Genomic DNA, 20,891 nt, shown 5'->3' with positions numbered 1-20,891 from the left:
GTCCCCTGCTTGAGGAAGGAATTAATCCTGAAGTCTGGACAACAGAAGGACAATATGGAAGAGCAAAGAATGCCTGTCTTCTTCCAATTAAACTAAAGGATTCTGCCTCCTTTCCCTACCAAAGGCAGTACCCGCTTAGACCTGAGGCCCAACAAGGACTCCAAAAGATTGCTAAGGACCTAAATGCCCAAGGCCTAGTAAGACCATGCAGTAGCCCCTGCAATACTCCAATTTTAGGAGTACAGAAACCCAATGGGCAGTGGAGGTTAGGCAAGATCTCAAGATTATCAATGAGGCTGTTGTTCCTCTATACCCAGCTGTACCTAACCCTTATACTCTGATTTCCCAAAAACCTGAGGAAGCAAAGTGGTTTATACTCCTGGACCTTAAGGATGCCTTTTTCTGCATCCCTGTACATCCTAACTCTCAATTCTTGTTTGCCTTTGAAGATCCTTCAAACCCAACATCTCAACTCACCTGGACTGTTTTACCCCAAGGGTTCAGGGATAGCCCCCATCTATTTGGCCAGGCATTAGCCCAAGACTTGAGCCAGTTCTTGTACCTGGACACTCTTGTCCTTTGGTACGTGGATGATTTACTTTTAGCCACCCATTCAGAAACCTTGTGCCATCAAGCCACCCAAGCGCTCTTAAATTTCCTTGCCACCTGTGGCTACAAGGTTTCCAAACCAAAAGCTCAGCTCTGCTCACAGTAGGTTAAATACTTAGGGCTAAAATTATCCAAAGGCATCAGGGCCCTCAGTGAGGAATGTATCCAGCCCATACTGGCTTATCCTCATCCCAAAACCCTAAAGCAACTAAGAGTGTTCCTTGGCATAACAGGCTTCTGCCAAATATGGATTCCCAGGTATGGCGAAATAGCCAAGCCATTATATACACTAATTAAGGAAACTCAGAAAGCCAATACCCATTTAGTAAGATGGACACCAGAAGCAGAAGCAGCTTTCCAGGCCCTAAAGAAATCCCTAACCCAAGCCCCAGTGTTAAGCTTGCCAACGGGGCAAGACTTTTCTTTATATGTCACAGAAAAACAGGAATAGCTCTAGGAGTCCTTACACAGGTCCAAGGGACAAGCTTGCAACCTGTGGCATACCTGAGTAAGGAAACTGATGTAGTGGCAAAGGGTTGGCCTCATTGTTTACAGGTAGGGGCAGCAGTAGCAGTCTTAGTTTCTGAAACAGTTAAAATAATACAGGGAAGAGATCTTACTGTGTGGACATCTCATGATGTGAACGGCATACTCACTGCTAAAGAAGACTTGTGGCTGTCAGACAACCATTTACTTAAATAGCAGGTTCTATTACTTGAAGTGCCAGTGCTGCGACTGCACATTTGTGCAACTCTTAACCCAGCCACATTTCTTCCAGACAATGAAGAAAAGATAGAACATAACTGTCAACAAGTAATTGCTCAAACCTATGCTGCTCGAGGGGACCTTCTAGAGGTTCCCTTGACTGATCCCGACCTCAACTTGTATACTGATGGAAGTTCCTTGGCAGAAAAAGGACTTTGAAAAGCGGGGTATGCAGTGATCAGTGATAATGGAATACTTGAAAGTAATCGCCTCACTCCAGGAACTAGTGCTCACCTGGCAGAACTAATAGCCCTCACTTGGGCACTAGAATTAGGAGAAGGAAAAAGGGTAAATATATATTCAGACTCTAAGTATGCTTACCTAGTCCTCCATGCCCATGCAGCAATATGGAGAGAGAGGGAATTCCTAACTTCTGAGGGAACACCTATCAACCATCAGGAAGCCATTAGGAGATTATTATTGGCTGTACAGAAACCTAAAGAGGTGGCAGTCTTACACTGCCAGGGTCATCAGAAAGAAGAGGAAAGGGAAATAGAAGGCAATCGCCAAGCGGATATTGAAGCAAAAAAAGCCGCAAGGCAGGACTCTCCATTAGAAATGCTTATAGAAGGACCCCTAGTATGGGGTAATCCCCTCTGGGAAACCAAGCCCCAATACTCAGCAGAAGAAATAGAATGGGAACCTCATGAAGACATAGTTTCCTCCCCTCAGGATGGCTAGCCACCAAAGAAGGAAAAATACTTTTGCTTGCAGCTAACCAATGGAAATTACTTAAAACCCTTCACCAAACCTTTCACTTAGGCATTGACAGCACCCATCAGATGACCAAACTATTATTTACTGGACCAGACCTTTTCAAAACTATCAAGCAGATAGTCAGGGCCTGTGAAGTGTGCCAAAGAAATAATCCCCTGCACTGTAGGCCATACATTTCAATCCCTCTATTTTTAATCTCCTTGATAACTTTGTCTCTTCCAGAATCAAAGCTGTAAAACTACAAATCGTTCTTCAAATGGAGCCCCAGATGCAGTCCATGACTAAGATCTACCGCAGACCCCTGGACCAGCCTGCTAGCCCATGCTCTGATGTTAATGACATCGAAGGCACCCCTCCCGAGGAAATCTGAACTGCACAACCCCTACTATGCCCCAATTCAGCAGGAAGCAGTTAGTGCAGACATCAGTCGACTTCCCCAACAGCACTTGGGTTTTCCTGTTGAGAGAGGGTACTGAGAGACAGGACTAGCTGGATTTCCTAGGCCAACTAAGAATCCCTAAGCCTAGCTGGGAAGGTGACCGCATCCACCTTTAAACACGGGGCTTGCAACTTAGAGCACGCCAACAAATCAGGTAGTAAAGACAGCTCGCTAAAATGCTAATTAGGCAAAAACAGGAGGTAAAGAAATAGCCAATCATCTATCACCTGACAGCACAGCGAGAGGGAAAATGATCAGAATATAAACCCAGGCATTTGAACCATCAACGGCTACCCTCTTTGGATCCCCTCCCTTTGTATGGGAGCTCTGTTTTCACACTATTAAATCTTGCAACTGCAAAAAAAAAAAAGAAAAAAAAACTGAGCTAGTATGTTAAAGCTTATGATAAAATAAAAATAATTCTGGATAGATGCAAATTATTATTATGTAATACTTGCCAAAACAAATATTTAGTGAACAAACCTTCATGCAGGGTATTGCTTTACCATAGAGCAACTAAGTTAAACCAAATATTAATCTTAGCAGGAATATCATGTAACAAAATCATTATTATTACCACTTATGCTGAATTCTTATGTAGAAATAAAATGTAGTGCTACTAAAATGGAATTCTGACTATTTTCACCAAAGTCACAAATTATTCAGCTTCTGAGCCTAACACACTTGTTAAGATGTATGTACCCCTAGTTTCCACTTCAGATCATGCTATCATCTGTGGATAAAAATTCACATTCATCTCACTTGATCTCTAAATTGATCTGAACTGGAATCCAGACCTCTGGCTAATGGAAACTTTGAAGGGATCCAGTTGGCAATCTCAGTATTTGCACACCCTTTCATATCCACAAAGGTTTTATCATTGCTGCTTGAGTTCTAACCTAAAAGAATAATTGGAAAGATACCTATTTTTAAATTCCCAAGGAAAAGTATAATTAACTGCTGCCCAATTGTGGCTGCCATAGCAGTCTGCAGGGCAGATATTTTACTGAGAGAGAGAGACTCCAGTGAATCCCTTGGCTCACACCAGTATATCTCATCTATCAAGAAAGTGAATACTTCTTCAAAGTATCTTAATCATGAAATCATAAAGTAATTTCCATCCAAGTCTTCCCTCTAGGCTCTCATCAGTCTATCATTTCTCCTATCCATTATATTGCCAAACTATATGACATACCTTCATTTTCCAAAGCCCTTTCCCTCACAAGTGAAATAAATAAAAGCATTCTAAAATTTGAACTTACTCACATTTATTTCCTTCTCATAATTTCTTTTATTTGTGTTGCCATTGTCTTTGTCCTTTGCAACCACTGCATTTCTTCATATCTGTCACCTTTCTTGGACTCTGCAGCCTTCTTTCCATAAACAATATCAAGGTTAAAAAAAAAAAAGTAAAGCTGAATTTCATGGTGTGTCAATGAGGATTTGAATCTTTTATTTACTACCATAATCACAAAACAGAATTGCTTCCTTCAAATTACACTCATAAATTATCAGCTATTATGCCTTAGTGTGTTGGTGCAAAGGTTGATGCTGAATAAACTTTTAGAGGGGCAGGAGAACTTGTAATTTATATGTCACATGTGGTCTCAACATACTTACTTGTCACTTGCTTGAGTAGCTACAGAGAAATGGAGTAAAGGAGTGCTAATATACCCACAGGGACACCAAAACTTCCCTCTTGCAAATGTGATGCATCCAGAAACATAGCCTGTGAGTTCCAAACCCATCTCGCTTCTTCCACCAGCTACTCAGTTTTTCATTTTCAGCTCCAAAGGACTCAGTTATTTCCCTTTAGGAAACAGAAAAATAAGACCAAATAATGAAGCATACATGTTTTTAGGCACAATAGATTATTTCTGTCCTCCAAAGGTAAGCCAGTAACATAAAACCCACACACACATGCACAGCATTTCATAAGCAATTGCATATTTATTCCTTTCCAGAGAAGCAATGTGAAATTAAATCACGGACAAAAGATCGTTTCAATCTATTTTCCTCACTAATCTCATCATTCAGCGTTTATGAAGACTATTAAGCCAAGGACTCATTATTCATCCTGCAGGTAAGCTGACCCTTAGGTGTGCAATTCTTTCAAAATAAGAATAATGTCTGCATTGTAAGTGAGAAAAAAATTAATACATACAGTCATTGATGCTAGCTCTGGCATTAAGTATTTCAGCAAAAAGTTAACCAAAGTCACGAGTAAAAAGACATGCCACAGAGTGGGAGAATGTATTTGCAACTCATAAATAAGGAAGTCCTCCAAGTAAATAAGAAAATTACAGACTGCCTAATTTTTAAAATGTACAGCATAATTAAATGGACCCTTCATGAAAAAAGAAAGCCAAATGGCCAATAAACAAACTAAAATCTGCTCACCTCACTGGCAACTTGGAAGATAAATATGAAAATTACAGTGTGATCATCAATATATAACCACTGGATCAACAAAAATTACACTGTCTGACAATGCCATATGTTCGTGAGCACATGGAACTGAGAACTCTCATATATTGTTGGTAGGGATGCAAACTACATTTTGAAAATGATTTAACATGATCCATTAAAGTTGAAGATATGTAAACCCTAAGACAGCACTAGATATATACCCTAGAGAAATTCCTATACATTTGTACCACAATACAGTACAAGGAAGTCGGTAGCAGCATTGTGCATGATGCCTCCAAACAAGAATAACCAAAATGTCCATCACAATACAGGAAACATATAAATTGTGCTGTGCTCATAGAATGGAACACTAAATAACAATGAAAAGAGATGAGCTATAGCTACACAAAACTATATGGATGAGTCCAGGAGTCTATATTACAAATATTTAATCATTGGTATGGCATTGGCTTGGAACAAACAGAAAATATGCCAGATATTGACAACTCGTATAGGTCTGCTGGAAGAATATCAACAAGCACTGGATAAATCTCTGAAATATTATGTTGCTAAACAATGGATTTCAAGAACAAACATAATTAAAGTTTATTTGCTTAGGGAAGCATAATGACTAGTAAAATTAAAAAGAAAAGCAAGGAAATAATTTCCATAAAAGGCAGGGCAGGTTTACTTAGAGTTGGGGGAGCGGGTTATTGGCAGGAGATAAGACGTAAGTACCACATTATGTACATGGTACAAGGGCTTCTAAGGAGCTCATCATCTTTTGTGTCTTTACTTAGTAAGTGGTGCTATAGTCATTCACTATTTAGCTATTGTCACACCTGTATGCGTATGTTTTACGTCATTTTTTATGTATATAAAATATTTTACAATAAAAACAAACAAATAAGCAAAGTGAAAGGGAAAAAAACAATGTTATATATACATGGGTGGATATTTTAGTCTAGCATTGGACAGAGACATTTATTGAACTTGTTATTGTCTTAGGTCGTCATTTGTTTTTTCAAGATTTCCAAAACTGCTACTCAATTCTTACAACTGTGATTGCTTCCACACTATTTAAGTATCATGACTACTTCAGAACTCATTGCTGATTCTTTCACGTGCACCTCTTTCTGATCCACTCAGGAGATTCTTAGTAACCAGTGTCCTAGCACAGGCCACAGTAATTCCTTCACTAATTCTTACCACACTCACCATATGCCCACAGGTGATCCAGCTGCAAAATCCATTTGGAAGGTCTACTTTCTTGGGCCAATTCTGGTACCTGCTGTCATAGCTTGGGTTTCTCCAGGGAGATACTAAGGTAGTTGCTTGCATGCAAATACAATATGGAGAGAATGATTCAGGTACCAGGAAAGAGAGACAGGAAGGAAGACCAGTACAATAATTCAATACTAGGGGTGGTTAATACTCAATACAGCAGGTCCCTTGTGGACAAAAAGCAGAGGTATTTAATCCACTAGCTCATGTCACCTGTTAATCAAGTGTAACCCAAAGAGATTAACTACTTCCCTTCTCCAGTTTGCACATGCTTGAGTGCTGGATAGCTTCCTGTGGGTACCTGGTACCACAGAGTCAGAGAAGCCCCAGGGCAGGAACTAAGAGTGTGGGATATGGATCTGAGTTGAGGCTCTCTTAGTTGCACTTTCACAAAGCTGATTGAAATTTGCAAGAAACTTGTTACCACAAAAGTGGCTGGGATAATTGACAGTGGTAAAGAAATGGTGTCTAGTATGCTGGTGTAAATCTGCTTATGAACTTCCTAGCATCTATTCATCCCGTTTTGTAACAGAATCTCCATTCTCTTGAGAATCCACCCATCCTCCACTTTCTCACCCTATGATTATTCTGGGGCTGAATCTATACCAAATTCCAGGGGTGAGCTTGTGAATCTGACTGGGCCATTCATAGCCGATGAGTCTTTATGGTGTACTTTTGTTGAATCTCTCTAGAAAGATGAGATTTTCTGTTATTAAAGCTAAGAAGATATATGCCTGGAGATACTGGGGATTACCAATGGAACTAGACTGCCTATGAGTAGAGGGGAAAAAACTGGAAAGCCAGGTACAGAGAACAAATCGGAAAGATTTTTAACAATATTACTTAAGTATCTGCATACACCTGAGCCTGAAGCCAATACACCTTAATTTTTTTAAAACATGAACCCCTAAATTCCTTCTTGAATTAAGCCTATTTGAGTATGTCGCTGAAAGCTGAAAGACACCTAACTTTTTAAGCATTTGGTGAAAGACGTTGATAATATCTATACCTTTACTCACATAGTGCTGTGTAAGAACCTTCAGTAGACTGTAACCTAGTAAGAAAGACATGGCCCTGATAACTTGAGTCCTAAGCGGGGCTCCTTTAGGGTCACTGAGACAATCAGGAGGAAAAAATCAGTTACAAACACATTTTTGCTAGAAAATTACATATTATGGAGTCCAAAATGAATAAAACAATGAAAGCTGTCTTGATTGCAGTTGATATTGTAATTGTCCAGATTTCATTCTGGTGTGCAACTAGATTGACAGAAGATACGATTTTTTGTAGGAACAAAAAGCAGAGGTGGAAAAATTGGCATTCTAGGTCTAAAAAAGTAACATAAAATCACAGAGCAGAATTGCAGGTATATAGAAATGAAAGTGGGTTTAAGTAAAGCTTCAATTTCAGAAGACAATGTGTAATATCCTATAGAAATTCAAAGCCTGTATGAAAGGAAATGTCTAATAGGTTGATGCCTAGAAGAGACATAACCATACAGTCAAGTCCTCCCAACTTAGTATTTGCTTTGGTAAAGTTGCCACTATAAAAAGTAAGATTGTATCTTGGGTCATTGCCTTGGGATTGAGTTGCTGATTGATTGATAAAGTCAGAAGTCCAATAATGGTACATAACTATGAGGTGGGTGGATCACCTGAGATCTGCCGTTCAAGACCAGCTAACCAACATGGTGAAATTCCATCTCTACTAAAAACACAAAAAGTTAGCTGGGCGTGGTAGTGCATGCGTAATCCCAACTACTTGGGAGGCTGAGGTAGGAGAATCACTTGAACCCGGGAGGCAGAGGCTGCAGTGAGCCGAGATCGTGCCATTGCATTCCAGCCTGGGCCAAAAAAGCAAAACTCCGTAAAAAAATAAAAATAAAAATATTAAAAAACCAGCAATATAGTTGAATGATTTGAATGTAAGATGGCAACAAAATCTGATAATCTACCACATCCATCTGGTGGTTAATTTTCCTGCCAGGGTTCTACTAGTCCAATTTTTGGGGTGAAGATTACCACTGTTTGGCTCTGTGGTCTCAATTTTATGAACTTCTAAGAATGAGCATCCCATCACCACAAAATCCTATAATTCATACTGTCTTTGAATGTGTTAATGCATCCCATCCTATGGCTTTAGTGGGTATTTATATATCTATTCTCTGATTGCTTTCTTTTCTAAAGAAAAATTTATTTCCCACTTCCAAGTTCCCAGCTACCCGGGATGACTAAGAGGGACTCATTTCCCAGTAATCTTCAAGGGCTACAACACAACTGAAGATATCTGGATTTCATTCAATAAGATTAGGTACCTTTTGAAAGACTAATCTAATATCTAAGATAATACATGGGCATGAAAATTGCATATCCTTCAAATTCAGCTTCCTCCTTTTTTTTCCTGTGTCAGTTCTTAGACATCCCCAAGAAAAGCCTACTGTGCCCAAGATTTTAAAAAAGAAAACTTTTCTGGTAAGAATGTGATTTGAAAGTTAACAAGCTGTGGATGATTTTTTGATGTTGTTTTTGTACAGTTATTATAGGCAACCAGTTTACATGTGTAAATTCTTGGTCTCTTTAACAATTCTTATCAGATTACATTGGGGGAATAAGACCATCTCAATAGGCAACTTTGGCTCATCAGGGAAAGAAGATATGTTAAAAAAAAAAGGTATTTTGAGGACTTGGATGACTGAAAACATAACATATGGCCTCATGTCGCTCCACAAGAATTTCCTTGACTAGCATTTATTATATGAACAGGAAAGTCAGTGCCTGCTAGAAAAAAAAATCCCCACACTTTAAGATTGCACTGGGAAGGCAAAGACAAGTGCATAATTACCTGAAAAGTGCCTTCTTATTTCTTTCTAAAGCACCATAATGCAGCAGAGATTCACATTCCTGTCTGTGGAACATGGAGCTGTTAATATACAATTTAGATGTCATAGCCCTATCTGGCTGAAAAGTCACTTTGATTTTGTATTCTCTTGATAGTTTTGATGTTCTGAAAATTATGATGGAATTGGCTGTAGGTAGCACTGTGAATTTAGTACATGGCATTAGTTAACAAGAGGATATTGTAAAAATAGATGTGACATTGACTGACTATGTTGATGAGATAAAAAGATGGATGGGCAGAGAGAGAGGTGTGATATATACATGCATGAATACATATTATATTTGTATGGGAACTTAAAAATTCACAACTTACATTTATACATTTATCCCATTTAAGTTTCATAATACACTCATGAGAAATTTTAACCAGATTTTAGAGATTGTTACATGACATTAACCACTGATATGGACTCAGAGATAGAACAAAGCAAAAAACCCTGTTTCTTCTTTTCTCTTTCCCTAATGTTTTTTCATTCCACTGGAAAAGAGGTTTTTGTTAATAAAGAAATTATGCTTTGACAAGAATTGGCCAGGATTTTAGATTTTTTTCATCCTTCTGTGAATTCTTCTTGCACTTATAGTCATAACTAATCAACTTAGAAATAAAAAATTTTTCATTCTTAGATTATTTTATAAAACTTTATAGATCTTGTACATATATCTTTTACAGCATTACTCATCTTGAATTACAATTTTCTACATGTAGTAGACTTCCAGTTGGCTACACAAACCCAATCCATACTTTCTTCTTCATTCATATTTGTTCAAGAATCATGTAGTCATGCACTTCAGTTGATGTTGGCTCCCTTTTCAACACCAGAAGGTAGATTTTGACTATTGAAAAACAAGTCAGTATCTCCATTGTCCTTGTTAATAATTGGTTTAGAAATGGTCATTGGGCACAATTCTGACTAAAGAAAAATGAAGTAGGCCTGTCATAAGATGTCTGAGCAATTTTTCTTAATTTAAAATAATTAAATTTAAAAACTTGAGAAAGTGATGACCCATGACTCTCCCTCTCTTTTCTGGCTTTTGAAGACTATTGTGTGAGGATGATATGCATGGAGGTGCTGCAGGCGTCTTGATGCTATGGAACACAGAAGCCTATGAAAAAAGATAGCACATTAAGTATGACAGAAAGAAAAGATAAAAAGCAATCTGAAGCATTGCTCTCACTTTTGATCTGTTGAATTTTCTTTTACTATGCATGAAGTGGAATCCAATTTTCTGTTTCTTGTCACCAAATGCATCGTATTGAATACATCATGTATATTTCTTTCTACCAAATTAAACTTTGACATACTTGATGACATAGACTTTATCTGAGTTATCTTCATAACTGCAGTGTCTGGTATGATGCCAGATATAGAGTGGGTTTCCAAATACTGCTTGCAGAATTAATGAATGAATGACTTTCAAAATTGTGGAAGAAAGAATAAACAATCATGCAAACACTGTCACTCTTTAACCAATTTTAGGCAAATAACTAACAATCAGAACTTTTGTTGTAGAAGATTTTCAGGGGGCAGAAATTCTGAGAGTATTCGTTCCATAAGATCAACAATACACTTTTTCTAGTGCACAGTAATTAAGGTATATTGAATTCATCTAGAAGTCACCGGAGGCCTTTGTCCTTAAGACAGGGTACCATTCATTTAAACAGCAATTTCTGTTGTGCTATTCTTTTCAAATGCCTATTAATATGGATCATCAGCTAACATTAGGGCATCACTTTGTTCTCTGGACTCTCACTTCTATAGGGAAGCTCCCAAAATGGGAATGACATCTAGAGCAGAGACTAAGATAAAATAAGTGAGTATACAGATGTTTTTTTTTTCAAAGCCCAAAAATGATGGATAAGTAAATGGAATTATTTGGAAGTTTCATCCTTAAGTTGAAAAGAGAATTTAAAACAAAAAGGAATTCAATTTTCCACATGGTCAGGGGGCACTGTCTCAGCTTGAGGGGACACCCCGCCAGAACTTCTTCTCTTTCTGTGACACTGAACATCATAATGGGGGCTGATTTTTCCCTTTAAACTTTTATTCCTTTGAGTTGTCAAAGCAGTTTTGTCAATCTGCTTGAATATATCCTTCATTATAATTTCATTTAAAATATATATAAAAATAAAATGTGTGTACTTGCCAGAAAAATTTAATTTGTTATAGTTTTTTTAATGAAAGAAATTTGTCTCCCACAGAAGGCATATTTTGCATGTATTTTATCCCTCAAATTATGCTTTTAATATTTCATTTATATTTTTCTTCCCAGCTTATCTTTTTCAGTTATTTTAAACTGGGATGTTAATCAAAAATGTGAATCAATTTCCTGCAATCCATTCACAGACTAAATCCTACAGTGACTTTAATGTGCATATTACTATAAGCAACAGAAACTAGCATTAACTATCTCAAGCCTAGATAGTTGATTGATAGATAGATGATAGATAAAAGATAGATGATAGATAGATAGATAGATAGATAGATAGATAGATAGATAGATACATACATACATACATACATAGCTGATAAATAAAACAGATAAATAGGTAAAAGCATTTATTGGAAGAATATGGGAATCAAGGGAAACCTAAATAGCCTGTCTCAGAAAGAACAAGAACCAAGGCACTCTAGTATTTAGGTAAGCAGAATTAATGCTCCATGACTTCAGGACATAATGCAAAGAATGAATTAATTCCAAATATGTTTTGTACGTGGGTCATGTCATTCAGGATTAAAAATTCAAGAGAGACAGTTTGGCCTTAAACTAGGGAGAGTCTGGCTGTTTCTGGTCCATTACCCTTCCAAGGCAGCCTGAAATATAGAAGGAGTAGTTCTCCAAAGCAAAAACTATGAAGCTATTACCAAAAAGCCTCAAAAAGGAACAAAGCATTGGTTGACCAGGCCTAATGATAATGAGATTTTTAATCTCATCACCAGACGTCCTGGGTTTGAATCTCAGCCTAGTTTATAACCTCATCTTGCCCTCATTTGTTAATACCTGCTTACTAGTCTTCTGACTTTTGACTTTTGCTTCCTACAGGATTACACTTCACTCTCTCTCTAATATTCTATACTCACTACTTGGGATAAATATTTTACTGAACCTGGCCCAACAATAGGAGTCCTCTCTTCCTGCATTGGAACATGGATTTCCTCAGCTAAATGACAAGGCCCAGGGAAAATGGTATTCATATACTCATCCTTTCATCAAATGTGACTTGGTTGCTTGGTTAGGGGTGATAGTAGATGGAGAGGAGGTGTAAAGGTGAGCCAAGCAAGAGAAACAACATTTCAGCTTTCATGGAAATCACACTTGAGAGGTGCAGATAGGCATTCAATGATTCGTGGAAATGATTGATAATTATAACTGTGAATAGTGGGTACAAGGTTCAAGGTACAGGTCCACAGACCTATTAGAGGGAGGATATGACCACATCTGCAAGGTCTCGGAGACTCCCTTGAAGAAGGGACAATTATACTGGGATCCAAGAAAAAATAATAGAAATTAAACAGGTAAAAGTTAGTGGCAAAGGAGAATATGCCAAGCAGAAGTGCAGGGTTTGCTAAAATCCTGAGGTGCAATGGAAACTAACCTGCTCAAGGTAAAGAAGAAAGCCAGGGAGGATGATGGGCAGTTACCATTGTGGGAGGTAGCCTGGGAATTGTGGGTTTCTTTTGGATTGATATAAAGTGATGTTGGAAAATTAGGCAGGTGCCAAACAATTCAAGGTTTTATAAGCCATGTTAAGGATTTGATCTTGGATATATCTAAAGAGTAATGAAAAGCCAGTGGAGTGTTTTTAGTATGATCAAATTTGCATTAAAAAAAAAAGCCTTCCATCCAGAGAGTGGAAAATGTTTTGGAGAAAGGCCAGAATGGGTGTGGGAGTTCCAAATATGAAGCTATGGCAGGAGTCCAGGCCGTGATGATGATCATCTGGTTTAGGATGATCAAAATGGAGATGTGGAAAGAGTACAGACTTGAAAAAAATTAGGAGTGAAAATTGTCAGGATTTGCATGATATGTTGGCTACGGTGAGGGAAGAAGAGAAGGAGGGAGAGGGATATGTCAATGTTTCCTCCTTGTTTCTAGCGTTTATAGCAATGTACATGATGTGATGTGATATTCACTGAGAGGGGATGCACTCAAGATTTGGTGGGATTTGGAAGGGGGTTGATAGTTTGGGATATGATAATTTTGAGATATCTTTGAGACATACACAGGAAGATATCAAGTGGGCAATTGGGTATGTGGTTCTGTAGCTTCGAAGAAAGATCTCAATGGGAGATATAAATGTGAGAGTCATCTGAAGACAGAGATGTAAATTCAACACAATCTAATCCATTTCCATAGTCAATCTCATTTGAAGATGTCTAAAGAATTTTCAGAGCCCTATTCTGTAACCTGAACATGACTTCTATAAAAGAGGCAGGGTAGTGTAATGGAAATATGGCAGTTTTTCCTGTTAGATGATTTGGGTTTAAGTCTCAAGGATATCTCTTAAATAATTTTGTAATTTTTAGCCAATAATTTTCTCACTCAGACATTCAGTTTCCTTCTCTGTAATATAGCAGTAGTAAAATCTCCCCCTGATTGCTGTTGCAAAGAATAATGTGATGATATCAATGATAAGGGTATATAAAAGTGCTTTGTAAATTGCTACAAACACCTGTCTTATTTTATTCCCAGACCCCTACAGCTATGCATATATGTTCAGTCTACTCAGTCCTTAACAAATGTCAATAAACAAGCACTGGTTTTTGAGGAGTCTCAGACTGAAGAGACATGCTAGACTATTACTGGTTAGCTGTTTGAGAGCTGTGTAAAAAAAAAAAATCCAACCTCAATTCACTTTAATCAGATTGGCTTCTGCATCATAACTTCATTCTTTCTAATTAATTATTATGGAAGATACAGAAAGAACTTTGCCAATGTGGAAATTCAGTGGTTATAACAAAATGTTTTATTTAGTTCTTGTCTTGAAAGGCCAAGCATTAAAATGGGCTATCAATGCTTTCTTTTAAAGACAAACTTCTGTTTTACTGTTTTTATCTCTAAATATAATAAGCACCATCTCTCCAACTGCAAGATGAGGAGATACTCTCCCTGGGGAAATGGGACATAGCCCTCATGAGTCTATGAAGCAGCTGCAAATTAAAACCATAGGAAACACCTTCAGGGGGCGTTGTATCAATGCCCTGAAAATGTCTGAAAGCCTGCTTTATGATTTGGGGAATATCATCAGAGATGCTAGGAGGATCAAAGAAGATAGAAGAAAACGTTACTGAACTTTTATTGATTTGTTACAGAACACCTAAGAAATTACTAGTCGTAAGTCACATTTTAATAGTGAAATGGATATCACAGCTCTGAAACCATCTTAATAAGCAGAATTAACAAAGAAAATTTCTATGCAAATACTTCTCATATGTCACGATATTCTTTTACTAAAGCCATATTAAACCTTATAAATTAAATTTAAATTTCTCCATAATGTAGCTAAGGTTATATTTCATTTCCATATAAACAATAACAACAAATCAAAGTATAGGAAGAATTAATGTTTTTATTTTATACTATTATTAACTTTTAATAAGCATACCAAAATGTACAATGATACTTTATTAGAATCCACTATCTAGTGAGGGTGAATTATTATAATTTATGTTAGGCTCAATTTCAGGTGGCATCTAATTAAGAGATATATGTACTGCTAAATTTTTTTTAAAGAAAACCGAAATGTTGATAATTTTCATTTACTTAGATGGTTAAAAATAAAGGTTACCTTAACCAAGAGATCAAAGTTAAAGTAAACAGAAATGAGGCATGTTGACTTCATGTACCTCCTAATATGATGAACCAGAAAGGACACAACAATCACTTCTAGGGTGCTCTGGCCAGTAATACCTCAACCAAATCATAACAATTCTCAAACAAGGCCAAATAGAGAAAAATTCTAAAAAATAATTGTCCAGTACTCTTGAAAGATAAAGTGACACAAAGACAAAGAAAAATTAAGAAATTCTTTTCATTGGAGGTGCCTAAGGAGACATGAAACTTATAGCAATATAAGATCCTTGATGGGATACAGGCCTAGAAAGAGGATATTAGTGGAACAACTGGAAAATTTTGAATAGAATGTGAAAATCAGTTAATAGTATGGCTAAATCATAATTATCTGATTTTGTTAAATTGTACTATGTCTATGTAAGACATTTGGAGAAGTAAAGTATACATGGGAAATCTACATATTACGTTTGCAACTTCTTTGTTTTCCTTTTGTACATCTAAATTTATTTCAAATTTAGAATTTTTTTTAAGTTATGCTTTTTGTAAGAAGTACAGCTTATATTTTATGGATATACAGTATAAAATTGTTAAAGAATATTAACTATTTTAGAAGTTGCTTTGTTTCATTAAATCGCTTTAGTAATTTATGGTCTGGCATAGTATTATATGATTTATTTATTGTAGTCTGATTTTTATTGTGAGTTCATTTCTCTGCTAGATTTTTATATGTTCCTATAAATTTTTTAAAATATCTGAAACATGGCATTGTTCTTTGTGGCAGTCATTCTAATATAATAGTTCAGATTAGATAATGAAGTTATCTTTTCTTAATAATAGGCATAGTTTTATTTTCACAGAAGAAAAAAGATATTTCAGAAACAATCACAAAAAACTCATGACCTATGCGTCTGAAGATATATAGTTATCATAAAAGAGCACAAGAAGCTATATGACTTGCTCTGTGTCACCCAGTTGTTAAAAAAATGACAGAGCTTCAAGGCAAATTTATGACCACAAAATCCAAATTTATCACATTTTCTAATATGTTACTGAGGCTACTTTAAAATATTTTCTTTAACAAAGCCCTCACTCCTGACCTTAAGAAATTTAGTGAAGCTCAATCATATGGCTGAATTAGTCCCACTCTAACAATTCACATTCTATTAATATTTTGTCAGATATCTCCATGTACTCCCTTGACTGACCTTTAGAGTAAAGGGAGGGTAGGCTTCAAAGGTTGGGATTCCACAGATCTTTTTTCATAACTCTGTTATGAAGTGATATATCAGGCTGGTTTTATACAAATCAGAGGAGATGGAAGAGCAAAAAAAAGAGGTAGTAGTGGCAGATGCCACCTCTACCCAGGGCCAGCATAGGGACTTCTGGAACTGTGCCACATGTGGTGTTCCCTCCACTCTCTCTCTTCGCTTTTCCTTCCTTCTTGTCCCCTATACCCAGTGGCCACCACAAACTCTAGCCTGGCATTTCCAAGACTTCTTATTGCAAAACTGTTGCTTTTTGAAGTGACTTACTTAATAAAGCCGTGGGACCATGATAATTCCAATGCATAACATAGAATCTAAGGTAACAACGGTGTTACTGGACATTCTCTGTCCTGTCTCTCTACATAGCCTCTGCCACCAAAGTTCCCTTGCATAATTCAATCGGCTACCCACATAGCTCAAGTCCAAAGTATTTCGTTATTCCTCAATGATTACCCAACCCCTGAGGCCCTCGTTCATCTCAACATACAATTTCAGTCACTAGATAGAAGATCATATTTCACCTTCAAAATAGCAAGAAGGGATCCTTTCTTTTAAGGCTGCTTCTGATTCATGATGTGAGTGGCAGCTGATCAGTTAAATATTGCTTTCTGCATCTGTAAAACAAGAATGTAAACGCCAGTATTTTCCAGTTGGATCAAGTGGCAACAACATCTTAGGATTTTCTGTTTCCAAGACTGAAGCTGCCCCTTGAGGTAAGTAGGATATGCAGAATGACAGCTGGTGATCCAGATGAAAACTGCAGATGATTCTGACCCTTCCTGGTGTATTTTTCAAAAATTCGATTGCTTTGGTTTCCTAGATTTATATGCAAACAGATTTTATGTCAACATTCAAAATTCTGACTTCTCTTAAAAATCAGGAAAAGTTTGGATGCACATTGCATACATCAGTACTCATGGGAGTTCAAGGTGGAGCTGCCACCTTTCTCCTGGGCATCTGATTTCCAGACCACATTCCTCGTTGTCGTCTTCCATCTGGACCATTTCACTGATTTTCATTGCCTGGCTGATTCATATAGCTAGTTAATTTTGTGACCCTGTTTTAGAAATATAGATTAACATCAGCTTATCAAAAACATTAAAAACCTCATTTAACATTAATTGATGAATACTGGGAGTAGTTTTTGTGAGAGAAAACTACACATTAACACAGAAATAGAGACATATGCACATGCAAATTTAAGCTGAATAATACATGATATAAAAATAAAATATGTTAATATATTCTGGAGCCATGTTACACTTGCCACCTTAAGTTGAACGTCATTTTCATTTTAAGTAAATGCATAATGTAAAAGTAATAAAAGACTCACATATTTAAAATTTGTTTGGGTGGAACGTTAATGAACTCCATAAAATGTAAAATAATACAAAAGGACCCTGAATATTTTGGAAGCTTTTTTTTTTCACAGAAAATATGTTTATTTATTCTCAAATTTGAAACAATTCTACTAATTAACATTTTTAATCTGAAAAGATTATTTAGACAGTTGCAGTAAAAAAAATGATAAAAATTATTAGGACTACAGATCTGTTATTGCATTCTGTGGACGTTCTCATAGTAAAATAGGTTAAAAAAAGATTAATTGCGTGCCTCCACTTCAAGAAAAATAGACTTGTGTGCGTTACTATGGCAACTACATACAATTCCAACTATTAACTTTCTTACTACTGGAAAAAAAATCAATAATGACATAAATTACTTAATATAACATATAGCTTTGGAAAATATTTATTTACCCAATATTATTACAAAAACTGCTTTACTATGAAAAATCAAAGGCAAATACTTTTTAAAAATGAATATGCCAAAGCTGAAGCAAGTGCTAGCAAACTAGCCACACTCTCCTCTACTAAGTGGCACCAACACATGTCTAGACTAATTATGTGTAAAATATAATCCACTCTGGCCAATCACGCCTGCCGTAATTGTGCATGTTATGCCCATAAAAACATACCACTAACCTTTGCAATATCCTTTAAAATTAAAACAGCAGTTACCTTTCTTTCAGTTCAACTAATAATATACTTATGGCCTGAATTCTCCAGAATTGTGTTAGCATACTAAAACCTAAATCAATGAGGTTGTTTTCCTGGAAAAGCTGTCAAATTAAATGTTATATATCTTTTGGGGTTTATCTAAACAATTTCTTGATCCACATTATACTGTAACAGATTTGGCTCTTGTGGCTTTTGGTTTTGTCTTGAAAATTTTTCTCTCATGGGCTCAAATGCTTTGTTTACAATTGTTTAAAATTCAGCTTTATTGTGACAGTTGTGGAAGAGAAGCAGGAAAGAAACACCCATTTCTAAGGAGTAAGGACATTCTCCTCTCTTAATCTATTCAGTTGTTATGACCTGATCACATAGGCTAAGGCCTCAGTGTCCCATATAGGGTTGTCGTTGTTTTAAAAGAAAATGGTATGATTGAAAAATACTTCCTACTTTTCATTCTAACCTTATTCACTTTATCAATCAGAAAGGTGTTGGGATATTTTTTGTATATATGTTTAAGAGAAAAAAAAAACTACAGTCTAAACACTGACTAATACTCTCTTCCCCTCTTCCCCCAAAGCAGAGAATTGAAAATGAAATACAGTTATATTATTTGGCTTTTCCCTTTTTTTCCCTCACTCTCTTTTTTCCCCTGTAGCTGAAGGACTGGAGTAAAAATAAAGCTGCATGATATCTAGTAGCCAGAAGGGTTCCTGGCTTTATCTTTCACACTGAAAATGGGTCTAATGTTTTAGAAGTAAAAAGAATGTGTTATACTTTCATCTCAATATTCTTGTCCCACTCATTAAATCATAGGATCAGAAATTTGGCTCGAGGTATCAAAAATTTTACTCTTATTGCAGCCTAAAACAAAGTACAAGACATAAAAGTAAAGCAGCAGAATGTTTTATAATTCTCTGAGTAATCAGGTCTGGAAGAGCCATGGTTATTTGTATTATTTTTTGATATAGATGTTGGTAACGTACAAAAACAATTCTTATTGGATTCCATTGTAGCCAGTTTGTTGGATAATCACATTTACTCGAATGCATCTGGCTTCCCTTCAAATATAAACGCTGCTAGAGTGGGCTATTAGAGATTGAAGAAACTGAACTCTGATGAATCGCGTTCAAAGCGTATCCTAGTTTTTCCATTCATCTCCATTGACTTCACAATCACCTGAATTTCTACCTTGCCCTTGTAATCCCCTAATCCCTTCATTATTCATCATCCTTTGTCTTACTATATCTTCAAAGGAAAAAATCAAAGTAATTCTGAACCAACCTGGACATATTTCAGAAATGGCTTCTGCTACATTAAATATCATTCCACAAACGAATAAGTCAACAATAACTGTATGTAATTTGGAGATTGAATTCTGAGTGGGTATGTACTTGTTTCCACGTCTTCATATTGGACTTTCACTTTATTGAATTTGTCCTCGTTAAATCAAGTCAGGCAGTGTTCAGCTGGACCTTTTTCTCACCATGCAATCCTGATCCACTAAGGGCAGCTTATAACAGACAACAATACTCAAAACAACAACAGCATCTTGCATTTATACCCTTTTTCAAGATATTCAAAACATTTTCTTAAACATAGTGTTTCTCCATTTCCCGACAGGATTTTGAATGCTTATGAGTGTACAGTCACTCTTGCAAACAGTGTAATATTGTGGGGTGTTGTTGTTGTTGTTGTTGTTGTTTGAGACGGAGTCTCGCTCTGTTGCCCAGGCTGGAGTGCAGTGGTGCGATCTTGGCTCACTGCAAGCTCCGCCTCCTGGGTTCACGCCATTCTCCTGCCACAGCCTCCCGAGTAGCTCGGACTTCAGGTGTCTGCCGCCAGGCCCGGCTAATTTTTTTGTATTTTTAGTAGAGACGGAGTTTCACCATGTTAGCCAGGACGGTCTCGATCTCCTGACCAGGTGATCCTCCCGCCTCGGTCTCCCAAAGTGCTGGGATTACAGGCGTGAGCCACCGCGACCGGCCGCAAGCAGCCTAATATTGTTTAGTGCATTCTTGCTGAAGTAGCACACCTCACTGCACGTGTTTTCCCACAGTGAGGAGTAGAGAATCTGATCATGCTTATTCAACAGGGTAACCTTATGTTAAATTTAGTTAGCATAGCATTTTCCACATGGGAATACTCTTTCTCTGAGTAGTTGGCTGATTTGCCTTGGGTAACATAGCTATTGCAAGACAAAGCTCACCCTTCATCTAAGCATTCTAAGTGATCTTCCTTTTAGGTCACTAGAATTCCCAGCATGCATTTAAAGAGTGGTTTTTCAAATGGGGCAAATCTTTCCATTTGTTTTGATCTATCTATTCTAGATAGATACAACCATCCTGATTTTTAAGGTAGCCTTCCAGAGATAATAAACTGCATTAAGATGGCCAAAGCCTATAAACTGACCTTATCTAGTGATATGTAAATATAAAATTCTTTTTAGTGTGATTTGTCTTTTAATTATCATTTTGTGCTCCAAAAGGGAATTAGGGTCCCATGATGTGTTCCATTCATGAACTGTGCATCTCTAAATTGGATATATAATCACTCTCAATGCAAATCACTTTATATTACAGTTTATCTAAAGCTGTGAATATGACAATCATCTTCCTGTTTTGGGTGGACTTGGAGAAAAGCCCGCCCAATATAGCTCTGAATGCTTAACCCTGTTATTCAGAATCATAAAAATTGA

The 20,891-nt window shown here is 36.8% G+C and overlaps 1 long non-coding RNA gene across 4 annotated transcripts in view; it reads right to left on the bottom strand.

Moving 5' to 3' along the window:
- Nucleotides 1–20,891, bottom strand: part of LOC105377167 (uncharacterized) — a 60,528-nt gene that overhangs the window by 10,015 nt on the left and 29,622 nt on the right. For 2 of the 4 annotated variants that reach the window (XR_940970.3, XR_940972.2), the window contains exons 2-3: nucleotides 16,700–16,792; nucleotides 3,797–4,340 (exon numbers count right to left, since the gene is read on the bottom strand). This is a non-coding gene — a long non-coding RNA (uncharacterized LOC105377167). Of the gene's footprint in view, nucleotides 1–3,796; nucleotides 4,341–6,157; nucleotides 6,274–9,064; nucleotides 9,125–16,699; nucleotides 16,793–20,891 lie in introns of those variants that run through there. The other 2 variants (XR_001740758.1, XR_940971.1) reach the window with 2 other exon arrangements.

This window comes from Homo sapiens, chromosome 3 (genome assembly GCF_000001405.40).
Source record: "Homo sapiens chromosome 3, GRCh38.p14 Primary Assembly".
NCBI lineage: Eukaryota > Metazoa > Chordata > Mammalia > Primates > Hominidae > Homo > Homo sapiens.
The sequence above is the reverse complement of the archived record's forward strand: the minus strand, read 5'-3'. Positions and strand labels throughout refer to the sequence as shown.